At 46.2% G+C, this 21060-nt stretch overlaps 2 protein-coding genes and 1 non-coding gene across 11 annotated transcripts in view, besides 1 other annotated feature; 2 read left to right on the top strand and 1 right to left on the bottom strand.

Annotated features, from left to right (window-relative positions):
• Window positions 1-17855, top strand: part of P4HA3 (prolyl 4-hydroxylase subunit alpha 3) — a 61495-nt gene extending 43640 nt beyond the window's left edge. For 3 of the 7 annotated variants that reach the window (NR_110031.2, NM_001288748.2, NM_182904.5), the window contains one exon: window positions 683-1344. Coding sequence is in view for 2 of the 7 variants with exons in the window: in NM_001288748.2 (NP_001275677.1) it covers window positions 683-940 (258 nt within the window). In the remaining 5 variants the exon portion in view is untranslated. Of the gene's footprint in view, window positions 1-189; window positions 406-682; window positions 1345-7864; window positions 8235-17678 lie in introns of those variants that run through there. The other 4 variants (XR_001747838.2, XR_001747836.2, XR_007062475.1 and 1 more) reach the window with 3 other exon arrangements.
• The window catches only part of PPME1 (protein phosphatase methylesterase 1), an 83415-nt gene continuing 75652 nt past the window's right edge, over window positions 13298-21060 (bottom strand). For 2 of the 3 annotated variants that reach the window (NM_001271593.2, NM_016147.3), the window contains exons 11-14: window positions 20878-20922; window positions 16983-17047; window positions 16286-16353; window positions 13298-14509 (exon numbers count right to left, since the gene is read on the bottom strand). In NM_001271593.2, coding sequence (NP_001258522.1) covers window positions 14491-14509; window positions 16286-16353; window positions 16983-17047; window positions 20878-20922 — 197 coding nt within the window. In that variant the 3' untranslated portion in view covers window positions 13298-14490. The other variant, XM_047427116.1, reaches the window with a different exon arrangement.
• LOC124902824 (small nucleolar RNA SNORA7) lies at window positions 15449-15587 on the top strand. Its single transcript, XR_007063005.1, has one exon. It is a non-coding gene; the product is annotated as a small nucleolar RNA SNORA7 (small nucleolar RNA).
• Window positions 17243-17537: a silencer, noted in NCBI's record as "tiled region #15540; HepG2 Repressive non-DNase unmatched - State 15:Elon". NCBI's record gives its function as "represses a minimal TATA promoter and a strong SV40 promoter by Sharpr-MPRA in HepG2 cells {active_cell/tissue: HepG2}" and the evidence as "EXISTENCE:reporter gene assay evidence [ECO:0000049][PMID:27701403]".

Raw genomic sequence — 21060 nt, 5'->3', positions numbered from 1 at the left:
TGAGGTGCCCCCAACAGACTGGGAGCCTATAACAGGCAGGGGTTCCTGTTACAGAGTGACAGTCAGTAAAGGTTTATTCACCTGACCAGATAGGCCTTGATTCCTGAGCACTGCCAGAGAGGAATATGGTGTCCCATCCACACTCTACCCCAAGGAAAGATGTGTCAAGCCATTGTCTCTCCTGTTTAGTGCTCCCCATGAGGAGGTGGGAAAACAAAGAAGAGATCAATAAGCAGATGGACGTGTTTATGTCACATATACATCCAGGAGCACTTAGCTCTGAAACAGAAAGAGAAGTGGAAGGGGGCTCATAAGCTGAGGTGGAGGCTGCCAGGAGATGCCACCCGTTTTTCTCTCAGTACTCTGGAATGGCTTCATGGGGAACATGGGCTTCTAAAATGAAGGGTGAGTGATCTTAGTTCCCAAACGTTTGAAAATGAGTTTACAGGAGACAGGACCTGTGACTTTTTTCCAGAGGACAATGTCCTCTTTGCTATTTATCTGCTGGAAGAAACAGCTTGTAGTCCATAGTGAGGCCAGGACTAGGCTGGGCAAGTGAGTTACCTAGGATGCAGAATTTAAGGGGGCACTCACACGCGCCTATGAGTGCGCACCAGTCTGCAGCATTGCTGCTGTCTGTTCTGCTGAGCCTGCTGTCTCCTTCTTCCCTGTTCTCTCCCAGTGGCCAACAAGTGGATACATGAGTATGGACAGGAATTCCGCAGACCCTGCAGCTCCAGCCCTGAAGACTGAACTGTTGGCAGAGAGAAGCTGGTGGAGTCCTGTGGCTTTCCAGAGAAGCCAGGAGCCAAAAGCTGGGGTAGGAGAGGAGAAAGCAGAGCAGCCTCCTGGAAGAAGGCCTTGTCAGCTTTGTCTGTGCCTCGCAAATCAGAGGCAAGGGAGAGGTTGTTACCAGGGGACACTGAGAATGTACATTTGATCTGCCCCAGCCACGGAAGTCAGAGTAGGATGCACAGTACAAAGGAGGGGGGAGTGGAGGCCTGAGAGGGAAGTTTCTGGAGTTCAGATACTCTCTGTTGGGAACAGGACATCTCAACAGTCTCAGGTTCGATCAGTGGGTCTTTTGGCACTTTGAACCTTGACCACAGGGACCAAGAAGTGGCAATGAGGACACCTGCAGGAGGGGCTAGCCTGACTCCCAGAACTTTAAGACTTTCTCCCCACTGCCTTCTGCTGCAGCCCAAGCAGGGAGTGTCCCCCTCCCAGAAGCATATCCCAGATGAGTGGTACATTATATAAGGATTTTTTTTAAGTTGAAAACAACTTTCTTTTCTTTTTGTATGATGGTTTTTTAACACAGTCATTAAAAATGTTTATAAATCATTTTTCCCAACTGAGAATATTCTTACATTATAATGCTGAGTGGGAAAAAAGGGAGAGTACAGTTGGCCCTCCACATCCATGTGTTCCCCATCTGTGGATTCCACCTCGGATTGAAAATATTTGAAAAAAAACCATGGATAATAACAGACTTTATTCTGTACATGCTCAGTACAGATGCAATAGATTGTATTGTATTCCCTGAACAATACAGTATAACATCTTCTTACATAGCATTTACATTGTGTTAGGTGTTATAAGTAATCTAGAGGTGACAAAGTATATGGGAGGATGTGTGCAGTTTACAGGTTATATGCAAATACTACACCATTTTATACAAGAGACTTGAACATCTGTAGATTTTGGTATCCTCTTGAAGTCCAGGAACAAACTCCCCATGGATGCTGAGGGATGACTGTACAGCATTTTATTTATGCTGTAATCTCGGTGCAGCTCACCTCCCACCACTGTCCCCGGCTACGTTCCAGAAGCTGGAATTCTTCCTTGTCCCCATCACCACCATGCCCATCACCACCACCTTCACTCCCACTTCTCAGGCCTTGACATTTGTCATCCCCTCAGTCTTTCCACTGCTGACCTCTTTTCATCATTCCACTCAATGCAGTGGCTCAATATTACCTCACAGAGCTTCCGTGACCATGCCACCACCCAGCCACTTTCTTTCATATGAACTGACTTTGTTTTCTTCATAACACTTATCAGGATTGAAATGACTTTGTTCATTTGTTTAATTTTGGTCAGTTGCCTTCCTTGCAGGGGAAGTGCTTTGGGGCTGTGCTGTACTTTGTAAATGCCTCTATTCCAGCCCTCAGGTCACTGAATTTCAATGTTTATATATTTGCCAGGCTGCTCCCACTAGGCTCTGTGCTCTTCATTCCTCTTGGTAGCCCCAGAAGAAGGTCTGGTTCAACATAAGTAGGCATTCAGCAATTCTGCAAAGGCTTCCTTTGAGCTGTGCTCTGGAGGACAGGTAGACTTTTTATAAGCAGAGTGTGATGAGAAGTGTTTCCCAGCAGTAGGTCTAGCAGGGGCTAAGGCTACATGGATGGGTGATTGTGATATTTGGGCACTTGTGCCAAGAGAACATTTAAGGCCACTTGGCTTAGGATCCTTCACAGGGCTGTGGGCATGTATTGCTCATAAGGAAGCCACATAGTGCAAGGACTGGGTGGTTGGATGCCTGCTGTCTCTGCCCCTTCCCCGCAAGCCCATATGACCTCAGCTTCCCAGAGCTCTGTGGCCCCAAGGGAAAGGCTCTGATGTTCTAATACCCAGCTTCCTCAGAGTCTGAAGTGCACCTTGTCACATTCCTAGGATTTCTGCAGAGCACACCAGGATTCTGGAAATCCTCTTACTAAATTACTGCCACTACTCACAACCTGCCTCCTCCAGTTCCAAGAGGAACAGGCCTGAGACGAGACAGAAAGCGACTGTCTGCAGGGGAGGCTGCTCCCTTTTCTTCACAGAACCTGGACTTCTCAGAATTACAGGATGGGTCTGAGCTAATCAGAGCAATGGCACCATTCTAAGAGCTTCATGCATTAAATATTTAATGCTCATTCCAACCCTTTGAGGTCAATACAGTTATCCCCATTTTACAGATAAGGAGGCAGTTTTATAGAGTTAAGTCACTTGTTGAGAGTGCCACAGACTGGCCCCAAATCTTGTGCTTTTAATGTCTGAGATGGGGCAGTTATCAAACATCTTGACCAGGCGACTGAGACACAGGAAAGTCTGGCTGCAAATTAATAACTGCTTAATGAGTAATCCTCAGGCGCAGGCCCTGGGCTCAGTGGGTGCTGTGGGGATACAGAGGATAGAGCCCTGGAAGCTGGGCCAGTAGGAGGATAAGACAAAATGCATCCTGCATTCAGTGTCATTGAAGCACAATGTGAAAATGTTGCATGCAGAAAGAGGTGAACTACCACTGAATGCTGCCATCAAGAGGTAGGGGAGCCTTGGGATTTGGGATAGTTGAGAAAGCCTCATTTGTTTATTCAAGTCACACTGACAAGGTGCATACTCAGTGCCAGGCCGTTGCTGGCACTAGGGAGGGAAAGGAGAATTAGATGCTGACCCTGCCCCTAGAAATGGAGCAGACCCTCAAATCATCATGAAACCATGTGGCCACGAGTGGAGACATGAACAGGCTGCATTAAGAGGCTCCCCTCACCCCTGGAAGTTTCATGGGAAGGAGGGACTTGAGCAAATCTTGAAGATGAGCAGGGTCCCTAGAGGCTGAGAAGGAGAGACCAGGCTTTGCATGTATTAGGGGGCATGCTGTAGGGATAGCAACACCTTACTTTTGGCCAGCATGTTCATTTTCAAAACGCTTTACCACTCCACTTGAACTTCACCTCCCCAGGGAGGAGAGCATAGCAGGTACTGTGGAAAGTGAGGTAGGAATGGTTAGTGGCTTCCTGGGGCTTCATGAGCTGGGACTGGTCTGTCTCCCTTACCAGTCTTCTTTCCACCAGATGGCTTTCAAAGCCACATCACTCCTAGAGTGGAAAGGCCTAATTCTTATATTTGCACTAATTATTATGTTTGCCTAATTCTGTATTTGCACTAGTCTCCATACCCCCTGAATCTGACTAGTCCTGATAAAGTGGCATGGCCTTGGGCCCCACTTAGTAGATAGATAGATATCTAATTCTAAGTAGGGTCAACTGTGGCTTGGGGCATTGATTTTTTTATAATTTTGTTTCTTTCTTTCTCGAACTCCTAAGCTCAAGTGATCCTCCCGCCTCAGCCTCCAAAGTGCTAGGATTACAGGCATGAGCCACAGTACCCAGCCTGTTTCTTTCTTTCTTGCACTGTTCTGTGAGCTGTTTTCCAACAGCCTTGTCCAACCGGGGTTTCTGGCACTGCACTACTTATCACTTGCAAGCCTCATTCCAGATAATATTCTTTACATTAAAGTCTATTATCATTATCATTTGTAACCACATCATTTATGATAGGCCAGGCACTGTGCTGAGAACTTAGGTGTATTTGTCTCCTTCAAGCCTCAAAATGAGATGAGTTCTATTATGCCCATTTTATAGATGAGGGAAACTGAGTCAGAGAACATATAACTTGCCTGAAGTCATCCAAGTATAAAATAGCAGAGGCAGGATTCAAATCCATGTCAATCTGTCACCAAAGACCTTAACTAACCCTCTGTTGTCTGCATTCCATGTTATTTTGCTGTCACTTCTGTGCTTCCATTGGCAATAATCTTTTGGAGCCAATAATTTTAGGGCAGGGGGGGTCTCCAACATTTTCCCAGGTATTGAAAAGGTCTATCCCTTGTGCCACTGATGCCTAATGGTTAAGAACTCTTGTCAGATGTAGATATCTGTTGAATATAGGAATGAATCAGTTCCACAAATGAACGGTGAACACTTGTCGAGTGATCTGCCCATGCTAGCTGCTCCATGAGAATCCAAGAAAAGAAGACGACCTGCTCACTGCCCTTAAGGCAGAGCGGGTCCATGCCCAAATGTAAGTGAGAATTGGATAGAATCAAGTGGGAAGCTGTGTGCTGCTCATCCTAAGGATTGTGGGAGCTTGGAGAGAGGGTAGGGCCCTATGGCCAGAATATGCTGAGGGTATCCATGTTGGAGCCCCAGGAACACATGGAAAGAGTAAGAATGCATGCCTGTAGAGCACAAGGTGCAGCGGCCACCCTGCTTGTCCCTCTTTCACACACAACAGGGGAGCAGAGAGAGCTGTCTGGGAGGAGGAAGCAAGAGGGTGTTGATTCTGGGGGACTCTTGTCCAGTAATGCCAACGGCAGCACAAACTGCCCTTTCATGGAACCACTGAAAGAGTCTCCTGTTGGGGGCCTTGGCTGCTCAAGCTGGGAGAAGCCAAAGGAGCCTGAGTGTAGGAGCTGGGGTGGGGAGAGAGGGACATTTACCTGCAGATTGCTGTGTACTCAGTAGAACTATGAAATCGGCTAAGGGCTAGGGGGAGGAAACAAACATATGTGCCTACTCTTTGCCATGGATCACTCTCCTGTATCATATTCACAACAGTTATCATCTCTTTTGGCAAAGGAGGAAAATGGGGTTTAAAGAAAAGACATCACTGAGTTCACACAGCCAGGGGCAGAACCAGGATCTGGAGCTTGGGGGAAAGTCTCCCCGTTCCCCTAACTGCTTCTAACCTCTTTCTGGACTTTTCTCTCTTCCCCACTGTGGACCCCCACAATTTTCTCCCCCTTTGGAATCAGAGCCTGCCTCTTTCCCTTCTTTCTCTCTGCCACATCCCTCTTTATATTCACTTCATTGGTCACAGGACCCCTCCTATCAAGTGCTTGATCTGCCCATTCTCCCTAAGGTTTGAGTGACAGAGTTTCCCTGTCCTTGACAGGGGCATGTTTGCATTAGAAATGGGTAGCCTGGTGTAATCAAGGATTATCTCAAAGGAATGAGGTACTAGGAGTGGATTCTAGGCACTAGATGCCTGCGTGGTGACAGTGTTTTTGGTTAAGGGTTCAAGGGCATCGCTCAGATGGAGCCCCATAGATAATGACATCTCTACCATCTTTAAAGCCCACCACATTTTCAGATGGAGCATAACTAAAAAATAATGACCACCATGTCTCCTGTTCATCTGCTTATCACGTTATGGGACTGGAGGGCAGTAGTTAGTTCCCCTGCCCCAGAAAAGTAAAGCAACTTGCCCATAATTACGCTGTGTGTCAGTGTCAGCTCAAGACTAGAAGCAAGGTTTCCTGGCTCAGAGACCCATGCTTTTTCCAAAGCGCCATAGGTGCTTCTTGGAACAGTTGCACAGTGGGCAAATAATGGTACCAATATTTGATGGTATTTTAATGAGCACAGACTGCATGTGTGGCCTGTCATTTATTCATTCAGCTAAGCATTCCTGATGTTGCCTCTGGGTCAGGACCTTTGCTGGGGCTGAGGATGCTGGGATGACTGATTGAGTCTCTGACCTTGAAGAGCTCCCAGAAAAGAGAACCCACAGTGACTATACTAGTGAAATACTAGTGAAAATACTGACATATGTGAAAATAGTTACAATCCCAGCAAAATACTAGTGAAAGAGGAACATATAACATGTTATTGATAACGGCAGGAAGCAGACAAATGCCTAGGCAGATAGGGTCAGGTCCCCAGTGAAACCCAACCTTCAAGCCAAAGACAGTGTAAAGTCTAGCTACAAGTCCCAGGTAAACCCATGGACCAGATTAAGAACCTGTTTTCCCATTCAGTGTGCTTTCCTCTGATTGCTCCCCACCTTTCACCTATTTTACATATACCTACCCTTTCCTAATTTTTTTTTATACTGTGAATGGTGTCTTTGCTTTAACCTTTTTTGCATACTCACAAGCCAGTCAGCACACGCTCCCCATTCTGAGTCCATAAAAAGCCCCAGACCCAGGCAGAGAGAGATAGAGAAACCACCTGTCTGCAGGGGTTGGGGACCACCCCTCACATCCCATCTCCACTGAGAGCTTTTCCATCACTCATTTAAATTCTTCTCTGCCCATCCTCACTCTTCAAATTGTCACATATCCTCATTCTTCTTGGACATGGGGCAAGAGCTCAAGAACCCCTGAATGCGGGTACAAGCTATAGCACAGGTGGGTCAGTGGGCATGGCACCTCTAGAGGCAGGTCTGTGGCCACGTGAGGCCTGGGCAGGGGGCATCGCTGGCCATGGAGGTCCCCAGTTGGCAAGTAGCTGGGAAAAATCCTGTGTCATTACCAAAGTCGTGAGACATGATTATGTCTTTCATGTGATGGGGGTCATGTGAGTTTTGGTTTGCATATTGAAGGATAAGGAGGTCCATATGTGCATATGGAGGTGTGAAGGCTTATCACCCTAACTCACAGGTCCTTAGATTAACATTTGTCCAACTCTTATTTAGGTTGATGCAAAAGTAACTGCAATTTTTGCCATTACTTTTAATGGTAAAAAAACACAATTACTTTTGCACCAACCTAATAAAACCATTTGTGCTCTTTTGATAAACCTAAAGCTTTCTTTAGTCTTACAAATGCAGATATATCACTCTAGGAGAAAAGATTTTGTCTAACTTTATGATCTGTAATCTGTTTTTTGGAAAAACATTATTTTTCCATTTACCAAATAAAAAATTACATTAAATCTTCTTTTAAAAATTGTACATGGTCCCCTAAGGGGCCCCCCTCCCAATTGTGAGAAACTCTCACAATTCTCTCCAGATTCTGGGGTTCTAGAATCTCTGTTTTTTACTCTCTTGCAACAAAAAGGGGAACAGGAATTGTCAGCGGGCTCACCCTGAATGAATGGTTTTATCCTGCTGCCACTGTGTGAGCTGCTAAGCCTTGTGAACCCTCCAGGGCCTGGGGCTAGAGACACCCTCCCTCCCTATCCAGCTCCCTGGGTCCCTCTGTCTCTTATGATGTTGGGGTGGGACAGGTAGGGCAAGCCCCAAGTCCCTGGGCCAGCCAGCATCAGCCCACATTTCTGACCCTAAAGCCCTCCTTCTCCCTCCACATTTGCAGTCTTGAAATGCAAATAAGGAACCACTTCACACTTCCTAGGATGGATACAATTAAAAAACAGAAAATAAGTGTCACTACGGATGTGAAGAAACTGGAACTCTCATGCGTTGCTGGTGGGAATGTGAAATGGTGCAGCCACTGTGGAAAACAGATTGGTGATTTCTCAGAAAGATAAACATAGAACTGTCATCTGACCCAGTTATTCCACTCCCAGGTATGTATCTGAAAGAATGGAATGATAGCTGTACACCCATGGTCATAGCAGCTTTATTCACAATCGTCAAAAGGTGGAAGCAAACCCAGATGTCCGTCAAGAGAATGGCTAAACAAAATATGGAATATGCATTTAATAAAATATTCAGCCATAAAATGGAACAGAATTTTGATACACACTACAACATGGATGGACTTGAAAGCATTATGCTAAATGAAATAAGCCAGACACAAAATAAATATTGTAGGATTCCACCTATGAGCTACCTAAAATAGGCAAATTCAGAGACCAAAAGCAGAATAGAGCTTGGGGACGCAGGCAGGAGTTATTGCTTAATGGGTACAGAGTTCTTGCTGGGGATGATGAAAAAGTTGGGGTATAGATAGTGGTGTGGTCCACAGCCTTGTGAATGTAATTAATGCCACTGAACTGTTCATTTCCACATGGTTAAAATGAGAAATACTGTGTTAGGTAGAGTTTACTATTTTTTTAAAAAATCCTGGTTAAAAGTTTTTTGTTTGTTTTGTTTTGTTTTGTTTGAGACAGAATCTTGCTCTTGTCGCCCAGGCTGGAGTGCAGTGGCATGCATGATCTCCACTCACTGCAACCTTTGCCTCCTGGGTTCAAGCAATTCTCCTGCGTCAGCCTCCTGAGTAGCTGGGATTACAGGCACCCACCACCACACCCGGCTAATTTTTGTATTTTTAGTAGAGACGGGGTTTCGCCATGTTGGCCAAGCCTCACTATCTGCCCACCTTGGCTTCCCAAAGTGCTGGGATTACAGGCGTGAGCCACCGTGCCCAGCCAAAAGTTTTTTGAGAAGGACGTCCCAGGGAGGATGCAGCATGGGCCACTGCTCTCAGGCCCCAGGGGCACACCGGCTTCCACTAATTCTGCCTGAGCAGCCCTACCCAGCAGGAGTAGGGGTAGAATTGCTGTGCCTTGGTCTCCCCGCCCTGTGGGGATTCCCAGTCAGGATGAATGAATCCCCTTATCTTCTTAGCACCATGGCATTTACTGTTTTTCACCTTATTACTGCAGGCAGCAGCTTTTACTATACTTGGATACTTAGGTCTCATTTAACCCTCATAACACCTAGTGAATTAAGGATTATCCCCCCATTTTGGGATGCAGAACCTGAAGTTCTGAAGGAAGTGATGTGCCAGAGGTCACCCAGCTAGTAGGAGGCTGAACTGAGCTTGGAGCATTCCTCTCATTATCAGGTCCTAGTCCTCCATGCCCCTGCCCCACCCCTCCTCTCCTTCTGCTATGGTGTGGGACTAAAAAGGCACTCGTCTGGAAGTCAGGTGGCCTGAGCTCTAGTCCAGATTGTGCTAAGGTATGACCCTGGACAAATCACTTTCCTTGTCAGACCCTCGAATTCCTCATCTGTAGGAGGCACTGCTGATTTGTCTGCCCTCCCCACTCCAGAGGAGTTAGGAGGTCTCAAAGGTTGTAAACGTGCTTTATAAATGATACAGACTGTATCATGTCAGTTATTCTAAGCTTGTTTGATTAGTCATTCTATAAGTCATTATGGAATGGCATCATTCTCATTAATCAGGAAGAAACTGTCTCTGTCAACACTCCATTCACTCCTCAGTCACCTATTGCCTGCACCTGGAAGAATCCAGCCTTTCTGCTAGTCTTGGGTTACAAGGTTTTGCCTGGCTATGGGCTGGAGTTTTCTAGCAAACTGCTGGGAGAGGAAGCCAGCTCGAGGAATAAGGGAGCCTCTTGAGTTGACATAACTTTCTGAGCCCTGGCCCCAGACTGAGAATGAGTTGATTCTGGCTGCTGATGGGGTGGCCAGCTGGAGCAGCAGAGTTGGCTCCAAGATTGCAAACAAAACAGTGACTGCAGGGAGGAGTGTGACTGCGTTTTGCTTTCTCTGCTGCTAGTGTAGGCTCTCTTCTTGCTTTTCCCTTGGTAAAATCTTGACCTTTCACTTCCAACCCCCACTTCTCATGACAGGCCCCTGCATCCAACTTAAGGGTTCTTGGCCCCTCACTTTTGAAATCTAACTAGTCTCTTTCTTGTTCATTCCACCTCCAAAATAATGAGACTATCCTGTTCTCTCAGCCCAGTGGCCACTGTTCTAATTAAGTATACCTGTGTCTTTTCCTTGCCCAATTACAACTGCCTCTTTACTGACCTCTTGGCCTCATGTCTGGCACCCACCAATCCATCTACACAGGCTACCAGAGTGACTTTCCTTTATAAAAAAGACCTGACCTTGTCTTTTTATATGGGGTCATGCCTATTTAATAACTTCTGGAAACTCCTTATTCTTGCCACTTAAGGCCTTTATGCCCTGACTCCCACCTTCTCTCCTGGCTCTTCTCCTATCTCGGCCCATACTCCAGCCACAGTCTTCTTCCTAGGCTGACTTTCAAGTCTCCAGCGCTTGTCTGTGCTGTTCCTTCTGAGATATCTTGCCCTTCCTCCTCCACCTCCACTTTGTGATACTTCAAGGCTCAACTCAAATGCTACCTCTTGGCTGGGTGTGGTGGCTCACTCCTATAATCCCAGCACTTTGGGAAGCTGAGGCGGGCAGATCACTCGAGGTCAGGAGTTTGAGACTAGCCTGGCCAACATGGCAAAACCCCATCTCTACTAAAAATACAAAAATTAGCTGGGCGTGGTGGCAGGCACCTGAAACCCCAACTACTTGGGAGGCTGAGGCAGGAGAATTGCTTGAACCTGGGAGGCAGAGGTTGCAGTGAACCAAGATTGTGCTGCTGCACTCCAGCCTAGGTGACAGAGGAGACTGTCTAAAAAAAAGAAAGAAAAAATGCTACCTCTTGTGAAACCATTCCTGGCCTGTTTCCAAATAGGTTTAGTTACTGCCCACCCCCAACCTTCTTACAACGTGGTCACTATTTCTATCACTGTCTCTCTAGACAATGAGTTCATTTTAAGAGCCTCATTATTTACCTCTGTCTACAAAGTCCATTGGATGCCTGGCACATATTGGGTGCTCGGGTTTGCTTAATCAGCAAATGCTCCTAACAGTATGTTAAGAGCGTGGGGCTATGAAGTCATGCCCCATTCCCCTCATGGCTTTGTCTTCAGTCCTCCCAGTCTCAAGATTCTGTCCCCCATCAGATCTACATCTGCCTCCAAAATGTGCCTACCTTCCTTTTTTGGGAAGGAGTTTCCCTTGGACTTTCACTAGTGTCTATGTGACAGGGCCTTTGGTTTGTCCCAAACATGCTCCTTCTGGCTTTGTGGCAATCCTTCATTCAAGGATTCTGGGATCTCCTTCTTTATTCCCTTCCTGAGTTCATACATGCTGATCTGTAGGCTCTGCAAGGACACTGTTATGGCCAACACATAGTAGGTGCTCGTTAAAGCCATGTTAAGTGAACACATGAATGGTCCCTTCTCTTCTGGGGTGTAATGGAATGCTCAGTAGACTTGGAATCAGAAGACAAAGATGCTGCCACTCTGGCCGTGGCTGTGGGCAAGCCATTTCAAATGTCTGAGCTTTTGCTTCCTTGCCTTTAAATTGGGGATAGTGCCTGTACTTCACAAGGATACAAAGGATGAATGGAGATGAAAGTGCCTAAAACACAACCAACCACAAAGCTCACGAGCATTTCATTCATTCTCAGCCTCCTCCATCAAGTGTAAAGAGGGTTCATCTCCACGGTCATCCTCCTTCTGCTCTTTTAAGTATCTGGTCCAAAATGACTTCTGCCCAGGGTCCCTTGTAGCATGCAGGAACAGAATGATGTGGAAGCAAGCCAGTTTTGAATTCTGACAGTCACTTCCAAGCTGTAGAATTTGGACCTGTCTGCCTACCTGTAAAAGGAACATAACAGCACCTACCTCATAGAGTTGCTGTGAAGATTAAATGAGATGTGTGTCAAGTGAATTAGATGACATTCAAAATTTGAGTGAACCTGATGAACCTGAGTGCCCCTGAAAACCAAGTGATCATGCTGCCCTCTTGTGGACAAGAGGGCACATAGCTCAGCAAAGGCACCCGCAAAGTGTTCCGGTGAGAGAAATCAAACCACACATAAGGAACTTCTCTCCTCTACTAGGGAGCTCATGAACTACCCTGAAATATTTCATCATCAACTAGACAAGAAATTTTCAGACATTGATGCACTTGTTAAAATGCAGATCAGTTCTGATTCAATAGGTCTGACATGGGGACACAGTTCTCTAACGAGCTTCCAAGAGATACTGATGCTATTGGCCCACAGACGGCCCTGAATAAAGTTCCTAACTATAACAATGTAACAGTGTCATAACAGGAACTACTTATTAAATGTCTTACCATGTGCCAGTTAGTGAGAAAGCCAGTTAACCTAGTTTAACTTGTATAATCCTCAAGACCCTGTGGGGTAGGTACGGTTTATCTCCATTTTTCAGATGAGTGAACTACAGCAGAGAGAAAGTTTGTTGCCATACCATACAGTGTAAGGGGTGGGGCTTGGGTTCTAATTTAGACACTCTGGCCCCAGAGCCTGCTAGGAGGAAGCCTCCAACAGTGTGGAGGACCACCCAGGGGGGAGGAGGGCAGCAAAGGTACTGAAGTGATCAAAGTGAGAGATGATGAGGCCTAAGCTAGGGCACTGGCTGTGGGATGGAAAAGAGGGGGACACGGAAAAGAGGATGAACAGGATTTGGTGGTAGACCTGAGGTGGGTGTAAGAGAAGTCATTCACTGTGGGTATCTGGTTTGGACAACTGGAGAGATGGTGATACCTATCACTTATTGAGCCAGGAAACGCTGGAGGAAGAGCAAGTTTCATGGGGAGCAAGTTTCCGGGGGAAGGTGGATTCAGCTTTAGAAACAGTCAATATGAAGTGGCTTTTGGTCATCTGGGAGAGACAGGAGGAGGAACCTGGGCCTACCTGTTCAGAGCTCAGGAAATGATTTGGGTTGTAGATGAAGTTTCACATAAGTGAAGCTATGGTGACTGAGATCATGTGGACAGTGCACAGATTGTCCTGCTCTGGACCAAAGTCGACACAGCCGATAATTAGGAGAGATGGGACTGGAATCCCATCCTGGCTGCAGAGGAGGGTGGCTCTGACCATCCCACTGGGCATTCTGGATCAGGGGACAGGCAGAGCATAACACACTGAAGGGCTATAGGGAAAGGGGTTTCTGGAGTTCCATGACAACTAAGTCCAATGAGCTGTCCCCTGCCCCCATATCAGCAGAAATAAGGACAATTCCACAGAGAAAGACCAGACCAATAAAGGTTGGGAGATATTTATTTTCTTTAAACAAGGTCATAAATAACAAAAAACAAAGTAGGTCCCAGACTCCGGACCATGCAGCAGGACAGGGGTGGGAGGTTGTTGAGTGGAAAGGTGGAGGGGGCTACACATCACCTAAGACAGTCACAGAAAAGATGGGCTTCAGGACACTGCCCCTTCCTGCCCTTGGAAATGGCGTGCCTGGGCAATAGGGACAGGCCACAGTGCTGTGTCGAGGCAGCTGGAAGAAGGCAAAGACTGGGGATGCCAGGCTGTAATGTTTCTGTGTGGAGTGATGTGAAATCCACAAATGGCAAAGAGAAGCTGTAGGTTTGAAGAGGCAAGGGGGCACTGCACACCTCCAGGAACCAGTTATGAAAATGGTTAAATTTGATGATTAAAAACAATTCCATAGGCTTTGGCCTGTGGCTTTGTGCATGGGCTGTATTTAACCTGGGTTGCTCTGTGGCAGGTGAGGGCGCAGGAGGCCCCTGGAGCAGCCTGGCCTCAGCCCAGGGCAGGTGCCCAGACATGTGGGAGTGGGACAGTGGGCTCTCCCAGATGGGAGGCCATGTGCTTGGACCGGCTGGACCTGATTTTCAGGCTCGTTTCTTGTGATGCTATCCACCACCACCGCTCGCTATGGCTAAGGATGGGATCTTGGCCTCTCTGGGTCTTCCAAACCTGGAAGAGTACGACTGGGATAAAACGGTACCTGACTAGTGTTTTATTTGAAAGGGAAAAATAAAGACCACCCCATGCATTGTCCATCCCATGAGGCAGGGCTGGGCCATGCCAAGACAATCTCAAGGAATGGAGGTCCCTGAGCCTGGGAAGACATTTGAACTCAGATGTATCGCCTGATGCTAGGAAGAGGGGCTCAGTATGGCAAATCTGGAGGCTTTACCCTAGGCAACGCAGGGAGAGCAGGCAGGAGCTACCCCAGTACAGGGAAGGGAAAGGAGCAGGGGAGCCCTGGACTGGGGAAGCCGATGTTGGTCAAGGGCCCTGGAAAACAATGCTTTTGGCAGAATACATGAAAAGGTTGGTACATCTCGGGGTGCCCGTCTACCGGGAGCCAGTGTCACATGGCTGGGCGGGATGGAGAGGAGACAGTGGCATCACAGTGGCCTCTGGTGCGACGTATTTACAACAGAGCTCGATGTTGAGGAGGGGTGGACAGCAGGTCACTAACAGCCAGGAAACACACTGTGGAAGAACAGAAAGAGAAGGAAAAACAAATGTAACTATCAATAGCTTTCCCTTGCTTATCTGTATCCTCCAGGAAGCCCTCCCTAATGACCACCAAGGCCCTGGCAAATCTGACCCATTTCACAGCCCTGACCAGAGCTGGACCCAGGGTCTGCTCTCAGTGTGCTGCTCATTTGCCCAAGGCTCCAAATGGTCGAAGGGCCCCAGCCAAACACTGTTTAGTAAGAGAAATTAAGTCTTTATTGTTGGTTCCTGGGATCCATGAATGGTCAGTTGTTAGAGGGATGGCTCAGCATAGGGGTGTCGCTTCTGTGGTTCACTGTCCCAAGGTCTTGCCATCATCTCCAGTGCTTACCCTGCCCTGTCACTCTCATCTCCCAGGCCCTGGAATTCAGAGTTCTCTAACGCAGAAGCCATTTCCTTTTCTTAATATTTCTTCTGCAAACTTTCTGAGAGTGGGGAACAAGTTTCCCCAAGCCCTCACCAAAATCAGAGAAGAGACTTTTCAATGGTAGGAATGACTCCTCATGAGGGTTGTGGGCTCTCTGAGGATCAAAGGCCTTCTGCAGTACAGACTAGGAGCTGGCTGAGGTGGGTCAATACCACCTGGTTTGGTCAACATGCCTCTCTTCTTCCTCAACAAAGAGCCCAACTGTGTTTCCCTAAACAGATGAAGAGCTACCTAGGATGAGAGACCTGGCCCTGTTTCTTCCTCTAGACCAATAGAGGGGGAATTTTTGCCTCCCTTGAGGCATTTGGTAAAATCTGGAGACATTTCTGTTTGTCAAAACCGTGTGTGGGAGGGGTACTACTGTTATCAGGTGGGTAAAAGCCAGGGATACTGCTAAGCATCCTACAATGCACAGGACAGTCCCCACAATGAAGAATTATCCACCTCAAAATGTCAATAAAGCTGAGGTTGAAAACCCTGCTCTAGAGCTTCCAGGATCACCCCTGCAGAGTGGCTAATATTCTGCCAGCTTCGGAAAGGGAGGGGAAGCAAGCCTGGCAGAGGCACCCATTCCATTCCCAGCTTGCTTAGTAGCTGGCCATGGGAAGACACTGTGCAACACTGTAGAAAACCCTGCTCTAGGCCAGGCGCGGTGGCTTGTGCCTATAATCCCTATAATCCCAACACTTTAGGAGGCCGATGCGGGTGGATCACTTGAGGCCAGGAGTTCAAGACCAGCCTGGCCAACATGGAGAAACCACCATCTTTACTAAAAAAAAAAAAAAACAAAAAAAAAAACAAAATTAGCCGGGTACGGTGGCGTACGCCTGTGATCCCAGCTACTCGGGAGACTGAGGCACTGGATCACTTGAGCCCAGGTGGCAGAGGTTGCAGTGAACCAAGACTGTGCCAAGAAAAAAAAAAAAAAAAAAAAGCCCTGCTCCATGGCCTGCCCAGCTTTCCTTGGCAGCAGGGCAGGAGAAGCCAAAGAAAACTTCTCTAGGAGCCTGGAAAAGGACTGATTCCTATCCCAGCCTCCTCAAAGGGGCACCTCAAGAAGAAATGCACATCACAGTGGGGAGTGAGACTAGGCACAATTTAATCACAGCCTCAGCATCAACCCGTGGGAGCACAGCACAAAGAAACAACCAACCATGGCTTTGTAGAAACAGACATGCCAGGCTCTTCACTGAGGAGGAGGAAGAAAGGCATGGTGACCAAACCAGGCAGGGGTAAGGCAGAGATATTTACAGTCCTACAAGTGTCTGCTTGTCAGATTCGGCCAGCACTGCTGGGTTCTTAAACCCTTGTACCCGCCTTACCACTGGAATCCACCGATGGGTTCTGCAAACCTGTGCCGGATCAGGAAAGTGGCAACAGCTTCAGCTACCTGGAAATGGGAGAGATATTCCAGGCCATATAAAGGTTAGTGATGGGGCTTAGCCTTGGGCTGTGAGCTACTGTTAGATGGTTAGGCTCTACGGTGCCCTCATCCCACCCACAGGTCTGAGTGGCTTGAAATTAAAAGGACCTAGGCCCTCCCTAGCAGAGCTAGAAGACTCCTCCCCACTATCCTTGCCAGGGATAGCTCCATAGAGCTCAAGAGGAATGACGTGAAGGGCTTATGTGTGCCCTCAGAGTTACAGAATGGTGTTTTCTCACAGGAGGAGCCCATATTAATTCCTAACTGTGCCTGTGGTTTAGGGAGCAGTTTCTACCCTAATCATCCCTCTTCCATCTCTGGCTTTTGGGGGTATTGGAGAAGTAGAGCTTAAGATCTTAACCACAGGGCCCTGGGATGAAATAGCAGAGTGTCAGTAGCTCCTCAGCACATATACACAAAACCAATACCATAAGCAGCTGCCAGGGAGAAGTTGGAGAGCTGGTGGAACTGCATCTGCATAGGCTCCACAGCAGCTGCTGCAGGCAATGCAGGCTGAGACTCAGAGACTTGTCTTCTGTGACATCCAGGGTTATTCTCACAGTTGTCCTTTTACAGTCACTGAGCACCAGACTCACCTTGTCAGGGGCATCCTCATGGACTGCATGGCCACACTGGGGTAGGACCTGCATCTGGAACTTCCCTGGAGAGGAATCAAAGCAAGGCAACTTCAGCGACTAAAAGAGCCCTCTCTTATGCAGCCTCATAGGTCATTCCAGGAGCCCAGGACCTACCTCCCCATTTCCAACCTCACCTCAATACTCTGGACCCAATTATCAAGTCTTGCTGAGGATGGTAATACAAGTAATTGTAACCTTGCGCCAATCATTTCCCTTCACTTTTTCCTTCTGTCCTATTTAGTGTACATTTACTGTGGGCCAGAGACACATAGAAGAAACAGTTCTTGTCCTCAGGGGATTTACAGTCCAGTAGGGGAGTAAAACACAAAAACCAACATTTTAATGCAGCATGTCATTCCTATGATAAAACTGGCTACATGGGGCTGTAAGAGCATAAGAAAGGGAACTTCACAATCCAAGAGGGAACCAGGAAGGAAGGAAGGCTTGAAATGGCTTGGAATACAAGAAGCTTGGCATGGTGCTTATGAGAGTGGTTAACAATAAGGCTGGAGAGGTAAGCAGGGGCCAAACCATTAAGGATTTTGTAAGCTATGTTAAGGATTCAAAATGTATTATTACAATAATAAGTTACCATCTGAGCACTTAAGCATGTGCCAGGCATTGTACTAAGCACTTTCTCATACTGTCTTACAGAACACTGTAAGCTCGTAACTAATGCGACAATGATTGAGAATGAACAGCGATGACTGATAAAGAAGATCCCTAAGGAGACTAAAGGATATGAGACCCAGAGCCCCCATAAGTAGAGACAGCAGATTTTCTCAGCCTCAGATTCTCTATTTATAAAATAAAGGAATGGGCTTGAAAGTTCTTCTGGTCATTACATCCTGTGGTTCTTACCCCAGTTACGCAGGATTCAAAAGTTTTCAGTGTATTCTTCTATCCATTTTTAAAGTTGATTCTCAAAATCTACCCTATACAATTAAGCACAAAAATACTGAAATTCTTTTCTGAGATGATGAAACTGAGGCCATGATTAGTGAAGTAACCTGCCCAAGGCCACTTCATTAATTAGTGGAGGAATAAGATGATCCCATTTAGTAAAGTCCATCCTGTGCCCCTCCTCCTGCAGTAAGCTGCCTCTCTCTGGGTGCTCAAGCCTAGTCACCTCTCCCTTCTAGCTCCTAAAGTTGTTAATGCACTTGGATCCAAACACAGAGCAGCACATGGCCCTCTTGTAAGTTTCAAGTAAGTTTACATTTTACATGCCACTGGTGCTTGCCTCCCCAGGAGTGTGTCATTTCCATAAGAACAGGGGACAATGGTGTTATTACTTGCTCTATATCCCTAATAAGACCTAACACAGGGTAGGGCACTGAGTAGATGCTTAAGTCTTTAGCGAATGAATGATGAACAAATGACTAGATCCAAAACTTACAACTCCAATCTCCCTGTTCTTTCTGTTAGATCAGCTCTGATGACTAGGGACGCATTTGTCCTTCCTCTTTGGAAGAGTAGGTATAATCAGAGAGAACTCACATACACCAACAACACTGTGCCAGGTACACATAAAATAACATGTTCATGGGTAATCCTCATGATTATTCTATGAGGTGGGAATATTTCCAAACTCTTCTCTCCCATTGCACAGATTAGGAGCCTTAGGTTCAGAGAGCCTAAATTATTTACCCAAGGGGTACTATGAATAGGTGGTAGTTTTCCAGGATTTCATAACTAAGTCAGTTGGTTTGAACACAGTGCTGGCAAAGCTGTGGTTTGGAATCTATGCAGCCTTAGCCATTTCCCTTTGTTCTGTGGAATGTTCCTTATCCTCGCCATTTACTCTCTATACTCATAGGAGGCTTTCTTTAAACCAGAAGGTGGTCTTGATATAATCCATATTGAGGAAACAGGAGGACATCTCATAAGGAATCGTGATTACTTCCTGAATATAATGAAAGGCATCATTTGTTAGACTACCCGCATTTTTTTCATTTAAACTTCATGTAACTGTACTGAGATATATCATTATCTCCATTTCACAGATGAAGAAACTCAAAATTAAATAAGTTAGGAATTCACTCATACCGCAAAACTATTAACAGTGATTCAAACCCAGGATTGTCTGATTCCAAGGCTGGTGATCAACAATGATTTCAAATGCTATCCCAGTCCATGTCAACTGCCTTCAGGCAGTCTCAGGGGCCATATCTGATTCTTCTGTCTGCCCAGCATCATGCATAGGTCTTGCACAGAAAGGGTGCCTAGGAAAGGTTTCTTGAATTGAACTTAAGTGTCTTAGATTCAATTTCATGGCACTCATGTTGGTAATTACGGGCTTAGACATTTATAAGCATCTACTTAAATAAGTGTCTAAGCCCATAATTACCAACATCAGTGCCATGGAAAAAAAATCACACAGTCCCAGCTCATAGTCCTATTCTAGGCCTCAGGATACAATGTAGTTAAAGGAAGGCAAAGCCATGAAGGTCTGGGACCAGAGTTTTATATGTGAGAGCCTTTGAACAACTATTATGAGAGAATATAGCTCCTTTTGCTGTGGAAAGCTTGAGGATAGCTAAAAGAACAGTTTGAGAGGCCCATGAGATATCCAGCAGGTTTGCTACATAGGCTAGGACTGGATCTCAGGAGAGAGGGGTGAGGTGGATGTTTAGCTTTGGGAGTCATCAATATATAAATGGAAGCCATGAAATTGTCCAGGGAGAGTAAGTAGGGAAGAAAGGTCTAGAACAGATTCTGCCTGAGCCTGAAACTTTGGTCTTGGAGTTGGCACCTCTTCTTCCCATAACCCAAAAGTTGTATGCCTACTGGCTTCACCTTCACTGAGTCTTTTACCCGTACTAAAGCAAGAGCCCCCACAAAATTGGACCCGCTGCCTCCACTGTTATCTAGCTAACATACATGCATCTGTATACAGTGCTCAGCATGTCACTTTCCTACTCATTATACCCCACGATCTGTTTGAGGCTGCCATCAGTTTTTTCATTTTCCAGATTAAGAAGACTAAAGCTGAGGCAAGTCAGATAACTTGCCCAGAGTCAAAAAATTACTGGAAAAGCAGTATTCAAAACTCAGTTTTCCGAACTTCAGAGACCTTACTTTTACCATCTTACCATGCTGTCTTCTAAACAGGTATTTATACCTTTTTATATCTGGATTATCTTGAGCCTTTCCCTTTCCTAAAACTTCTAACAATAAGAAAAATACTGGCCAGCTGCAGTGGCTCACACCTATAATCTTCGCACTCTGGGAGGCCAAGGCAGGTGGATCACTTGAGGTCAGGAGCTTGAGACCAGCCTGGCCAAAATGGTGAAACTCCATCTCTACTAAAAATACAAAAATTAGCTGGGCGTGGTGGTGCATGCCTGTAATCCCACTACTGGGGTGGGTGAGGCCCGGAACTGCTTCAACCTGGGAGGTAGAGGTTGCAGTGAGCCGAGATTGGTCCCACCGCACTCCAGCCTGGGCAACAGAGTGAGACTCCAATTCAAAAAAAAAAAAAAAAAAAAAACCCACAAACAAAAAACTGATCAGTAGTCAGAATATCTCTTTTCACAGTATCATACACCTATACAGTACTTTATAATTTTTAAACACATTGCCTCATTTTAACTCTTATAACTGAGACATAGGTAGTAGTATTATAATCTTCATTTTTGGATGGATTTTTTTTTAAACAAATTAAAGCTCAGGAAAGGGAAATACTTGCCCATAATCATATAGTGTGTTAGGAGTAGAGGCGGATGTCCAACTTGGGTCGGACTCTAAAGCTCATGCTTTCTCCGTTATACCTCACTATCTCAGGATGTTAACTGCCCTATCACCCTTTCTTCAGAAAAGGGTCCAGGGGTATAATTTCTTGATAACTTACCTTGCATCTGGCCAATGGTCAGATCTTTATCCAATCTATCAACACCTAGAAAACAAGAGAATTCATTGTGAAACAGATTTTGCTGTTCACGTATTAAGTAAAAAGTGTTACAAAGTTTTAAATATGATGACATTCTCCATTCATGTTTATACCAATCCTAACTCCCAGAGCATACTCTCACCA

Source organism: Homo sapiens, chromosome 11 (genome assembly GCF_000001405.40).
Source record: "Homo sapiens chromosome 11, GRCh38.p14 Primary Assembly".
NCBI lineage: Eukaryota > Metazoa > Chordata > Mammalia > Primates > Hominidae > Homo > Homo sapiens.
The sequence above is the reverse complement of the archived record's forward strand: the minus strand, read 5'-3'. Positions and strand labels throughout refer to the sequence as shown.